The sequence below is a fragment of the Homo sapiens genome, chromosome 7 (genome assembly GCF_000001405.40).
Source record: "Homo sapiens chromosome 7, GRCh38.p14 Primary Assembly".
Classification (NCBI taxonomy): Eukaryota; Metazoa; Chordata; class Mammalia; order Primates; family Hominidae; genus Homo; species Homo sapiens.
The window spans coordinates 136,527,465-136,533,384 of record NC_000007.14 but is presented as its reverse complement, the minus strand read 5'-3'; the positions used below and the strand labels follow the sequence as shown (position 1 = coordinate 136,533,384).

The window sequence follows — 5,920 nt, the reverse complement described above, 5'->3', positions numbered from 1 at the left end:
TACTCAGACATTCTGTATAAAAATAAACCTGACCTGAATGCTACTTGCCCTCATTACGCCATCTTTTGTACTAAACTGTGGAAACTAAAATGTTGGTTATATCCTGCTTCTAATCTTCTTCTGGTCATTCCACAATTTAAGACAAACTGTCTTCAATCTCAATATTTTTAAAAAGTATTTGCCATCCTAAAAGTCAGCAATATAAATCCAGTAGGCACTTCCTAGTGTTTTTCCCTTTCTGCAGCAGCAGAACACTGAACAGTGCCTTTTTGTGGAAATCATGTCATCACTTCCTTGCTATACACTCAGTTGATGAACTTTTTTGCAATTTTCACTCTTCTTTGCTATCTTCTCTTTCCTCATCCTTTTCTATTTTGCAGACCTTCCTACAACGTCCTTTCACAGATATGATTTTTAATTCCACAGATTACTCTTGGGCTTGTTTTCTAATTCCAGATTCCCTCTTAATCTTTAAATCTTTCCAGCTACCTTCAAAAGACCTCCCACAAATTGTACAATCTGAAACTCCTCAAGCACATTCCCAACCTCTGTCTTGACTCTTGCACCCTGTGTCAAGCAATGTCTTCACTATTCTCTTAGTCATTCATGCTTTGAGGATCAGGGTTATTGTCTACACTTCCTTTATGAACTCTCCATATCTAATCAGTGGCCACATTCTATGGGTTCTGACTCATTTCTTCTCTTAATTATCCCGTTTAGTAACTTTTCACCTCTTTCTTGGTATTTTATAATGTCTCCCAACCTGTTTCCAATTTCTACATCTTGAAAAATATGACCTACATTGTCATCAGTTATTATTCTAAAACCCAATTTTATCAAGCCATGGATATAAAACTTGAATGTGACAATGATATCCTTACTCCATGCCACATATTAGCTAAACAATTCACGTACAATATCTAAGCTATACTCAAGTAAATCTTTGAGGGAAATAGTTTTACCATTAGCCGACAGATTAATGAACTTGCCCCAAATCATACAGTTAGTGAGTGCTAGAGGTGAGAAGTAGAATTTAAATTCTGGTCTGAGTCCAGAGACCAGCATAGACTGCCAAGCATACTTAAAGAAAAAACTTCATTGGCTCTTCACGGGAATGCAAATTCCCAAATTGAACATTCAATTATTATATAAGATGAAATTTCATCTATAAATAATTATTTCATCCATAAGATGAATGTCATTTTCCTTTTTCAAGTTAATGTTTCTCTTGCAACCTTCTTTCCTTCTGCAATAAGCACTCATACAAATAAAATAGATGCAAAATATTTATTTGGGATTTGATTTCTACATCACTGAAAATTCTGTAGAGGAAACAATCTCTGTAGACTCATCCAAATCTAATATTATATGATTCTATGCTACCTTCACGCTATGAAAACTTCAAACTGTCTCCCTCCCTTACTAAAATAAGCAATTTAGAAACAAGCCTGGCCTTTCTTTTCTGTGACGCATACATTTTCCTCTACCCTGAAACTGCATCTCCATGACTGTACTTGTCCAAGCCTTCCACAAATCTTCAAGGGCATGCTCGATTGTCACCTTTTCCATAACGCTTTATCTGATGCTATAAGAAAAATTATAAATTTATACTTCTGAGCCTGCTATTCAATTTGTACTTGTAGTATAGCACAATACCCACTACCTTACATTTTAATTAGCTTAGCTCTTTCTTGTCTAATTTGCTGGATGAAAAGTTTACTTAACTAAGCAACTATATTTTACCTGCATTAGTATCTAGCCTACTTTGCTACTACAATTATGCTGCAAACATTAGCCACTCAGTAAATTTTTAATAAATGTATTCCTTCCAAATCTACAAGCTTAATTCACTTTTTTAGGTTTTTAGCCAAGTGAAAAAAAGAGCTTAGCAGAGTCATTAATAACTCAGAAGGTATATATTTAAATCTCTACTCCATTATCTACTCAAATTCTTCAAACCTTACTTTCTTCGTCTATAAAATAGTGATAATAACAGTACCTAGTTCTTAGGGTTTTCTGAGATTTTAATCAAGTAATATAAAGAACTGGAAGAGTATTTGTAATGTTGTAAGGACTCAGTAAATGTTAGCTATCACTATTGTATATTTTAAAACAAACAAAGGTTTTAAAGAGAGATCTAAAATAGTTTCCAACAAATGGGCTTTTATGTGCATTGTACAGGACTTCCTGGCAGGTGAAAAATCACAATAAACTTAATTAAGGGGTGACTTTTCTGGTCAGTATAAAGAGCAGAGCAGTTTTAATCCTGGCAAGAAACAGGGTCTGGAAGCTTTTCATATTCAATCATTTTCTTTAACATGAATAAGTCAAGTGCTCCATTAGTTCTGGAAAGGAGAGTATAATAGAATCAGTTCTATAATAGGGGCATTAAGCCCTCTTGCATTATATAAAATTATAGAAAAAGACTGCCAGGCTCTGGTTTCCTTGCCAAAATATGGCTATGAATGTTCAACAGTGACATCAAGCCTGATAAAAACTTTTACTTTAAATAGCTAGAAACTCAAAAGGCAGCATAGAATGACAGTCTTGAGCAGGAATAGGAACGGAAGGAAATAGGCACAACCCTGTGTCTTAAAGCAGGTGCTTATTTAGTGCCATCATTCTAAGATGGCTTAATTAAAATGAAATGGTATATACATTGCTCGTTTCAAACTTGCATTGCAAATGTATGTTAGAATTAAAATTTGAGCTGACATCAGAAATCCAAGTAAAATAGTGACATTTTAAACCTTTTTAATGTTGACATTACAGAAGGTCAGCTCTATCATAGTAAATAAGGAAAATTTAGCTTTCTCTTTATTTTTATTACCTTTCTTGAGAGTTGAGCTTATTTTCCTTCTATTACATTCTTTATTACCACATTTCTGGAAGGTGCTAATTTGTCTATCCATTACACACTTGTTTTCTGAGTTGAGAGGGGAAATGTTGATTCAACCTCTCACCCATTAGAAAATTCTATTCAGGCATTCGCAGGGCTTGCTCCAGTCCTTTGTAATCAGCGATACTGTGTATGGGGCTTATGACATAAAGAATAAGACAAATAACTATTCAGAAGCAGAGACACCTCTTTGCAATAGTATCAGAAACCTCCAGAGAAGCACTCTGAGGCACAGAGCATGAAGTAGGGTGACATTAATATACCAAACTGAGAGATAATATAGAACTCATTGCCAGAGCACACAGATATTCCTTTAATATAATACAAATTAGTAAAGCAGACCTCATGCCCACCTTTTCCTCATAAAGCCTGCCCTAACTACTTTATAGCCTCACTTCCTAGAGGCTGGAATGAAATACAAACTTCAGAATAATTCCCCCACTGGATTTTCCTTCTGCTTCTTATTTAGAACTCCATGAATCCATATGGATTCATATCACCAATGAACCCAGATAACTAACATCAGCTCTCTCTTCCACATTACAAATAGAAGAGTTATTTCCTCTCCTTCTAGTCTCAGTGTTATCAGCCCAAATATCTTATTCAAAAAGACATTTTAAAATAAAGAATTCAAAAGTGAAGATAAAATTATTCAATGACACCACAAATGCATATCTTCCCAATAGTTTAAACCCAGCAGATTTTCTATTTAACCTTCTACTTCATTTAACAATTGAACAAAGATTTTAATAACAGCTTCCCATGTTCTTTTTTGTGTCTTTTAAATGAGAACCATTAGTGCTTTTTCAGATTTCTTCTTTACTAACCATTATCAGATCTTAAAAACTCAAAAACAGAGAACAATAAAAAAAACTCAGAGAGGTGCTTAGAGATATAATTAAGCTAAAATAAAGACGGATAAAATTTCATCACCACATTATTTTGAGACAGGCATTCCCAGTATTTGCCAGGAATCTAAGAAGTAATTTCAACAGTATCAATATACACTAAAAGTACAGATTTTTCTATACTGCTGCTTCTCAACACCCGCCCTCCCACCCCCATATCCTTGGCTATGGTAAAGAAATGTCTTCTTTATTTTTACCAATAAAAGAACTCTAATTTAAGACACTGACTGGGAAGATAAAGAAAAAGTAAGAAGTAACAATTTAAAGGCCACAGTTTGGAGTCCGACCTCCCAGGACCCCGATTCTATATTTTATAGTATGCCAAGGATATGTTTATAGTAAGTAGTGAAATACATGAAAACTGAATGTAAGTGGAAAGTAGTTTCAATTTAGTTTGTGACTTTTATGCATATATGTGCTATTACTCTCTTTTGAAAGGAATAAGGGACTAGTGGAAGACTCTGGAGGAAATAAGGCACAGTAGAATGCAATGACATCCAAATACTATAAAGTTATCAGAGATACTGCATAGAAAAAAAGAATCACTACCTGATATAGTTTGGATATTTGTCCTCTCCAAATCTCATGTTGAAATGTGATCCTCAATATTGGAGTTGGGGCCTGGTGGGAGGTGTTTGGATTATGGGGGCAGATCCCTCATGAACGGCTTAGTGCAGTCCTCACAGTAATGAGTGAGTTCATTTGAGAGCTGATTATTTAAAGACATGGCACCTCCCCTCTCTCTCTGGTACTCTTCTCTTGCCAAGTGATACACCTGTTCTCTTTTGCCTTCCCCCATGATTGGAAGCTTTCTGAGGCCTCATCAGAAGCAGATGCCAGCCCCATGCTTCTTATGCAGTCTACAGGACCATAATCCAAATAAACTTCTTCTCTACAAATTACCCAGCTTCAGATATTCCTTTATAGCAATGCAAAATGGACTAACCCACCGCCTTTCTAATGAAAAGCCAGATCCACCACATTGGAGATAGAGGGAAGTCCTCCACATGAGAAACGTGATCTACACCAGAATCACCATACATTCCTCATGAATCATCCTCTCTATGAATAGTGACTCACTCTACTATTGCTCTGGGGAGGAGGAGGAGCTAGGCTGCTTTAAAACACTCTTAAGCTGATTCACAAGACCCTTTTCATAATGTTCTCCAGCTTCACTGAGACAAGGCTGAAATACTAAATCAAGTACAGCAAGTAGGAATCTCAGTCTACAAAATATCTTCCCTCCCTCCCTTCCTTTCCTCTTTCTTTCCTTCCTTCCTTCTTTCCATTTGTTTCTCTTTAGGACCTTTGTTCAGCCTTAGATGTGTTTCTGCCATGGGAGGTTTATGTAAATACCAGATATCAGAACTTCTATGGGTATATTAGAGAGTGGGTCTGTCAGGGAGAAGCAACACCAGACAGTCAGTATAAACTGACCCATCATGAACCCCTTAAGGCACCCCTCATTGATGGCAGTGGTGGCCCATCTGGAGCAGCTGCTGTAAAGATGCCAGCTGCAGCAGGGGAATTGCAGCTGGGGATGAATACTCCATGGATCTGGCAGGAGCTGGCAATAGGCAGGAGCCCAGCCCCCTTCTGAGTTGAAAGTGTAGGATCCCCACTCTCCTGGGCACAGCTGCAGCTGTGGACCCAGGCATCCCTGTGCTCTTGGGAACCCAGGAAGCCCCGCTCCTCATGCAGGCTCAGAAATGTCTGCTCCTGCTCCTGGGCCTGGCCTCTCCTCACTCCTGGCAATGGCTCCAATTCTGGAGCAAAGTTGAGGCCAAGCCCAGGTGCTGTCACAACCCAGCTGGGTGTGCACAAGCTTGGGGCAATGCTGTCACAGCAGCCCTCTGCCATTTCAGCCCATGTGGACTGTGGCTGCCAACAAGCACAGGAAGGAGCCTGAGGTAGGGCTGAGGGCAGCTTAGTGCAGTCCTGCAGGTGCCCCTCAGCAGGAACAACCTTGTTGCCACAGATGATATGATTGATGGTGGCAGGAGGCAGACAGGCTCCTGGGCAGAAAGAAGTGGGTCCCCAGTGAAGTTCCACTTTGAAGCCAGGGACAGCCTGAAGCATGGGGGCTGGGCTGTCAGTTCTGGGTGGAGTTCAC

General features: G+C 38.4%; 1 annotated feature.

Moving 5' to 3' along the window:
• Positions 5,096-5,596: an enhancer, noted in NCBI's record as "H3K4me1 hESC enhancer chr7:136212537-136213037 (GRCh37/hg19 assembly coordinates)". NCBI's record gives its function as "activates a minimal SCP1, AML or CMV promoter by ChIP-STARR-seq in naive H9 embryonic stem cells {active_cell/tissue: H9 hESC(naive)}" and the evidence as "EXISTENCE:reporter gene assay evidence [ECO:0000049][PMID:30033119]".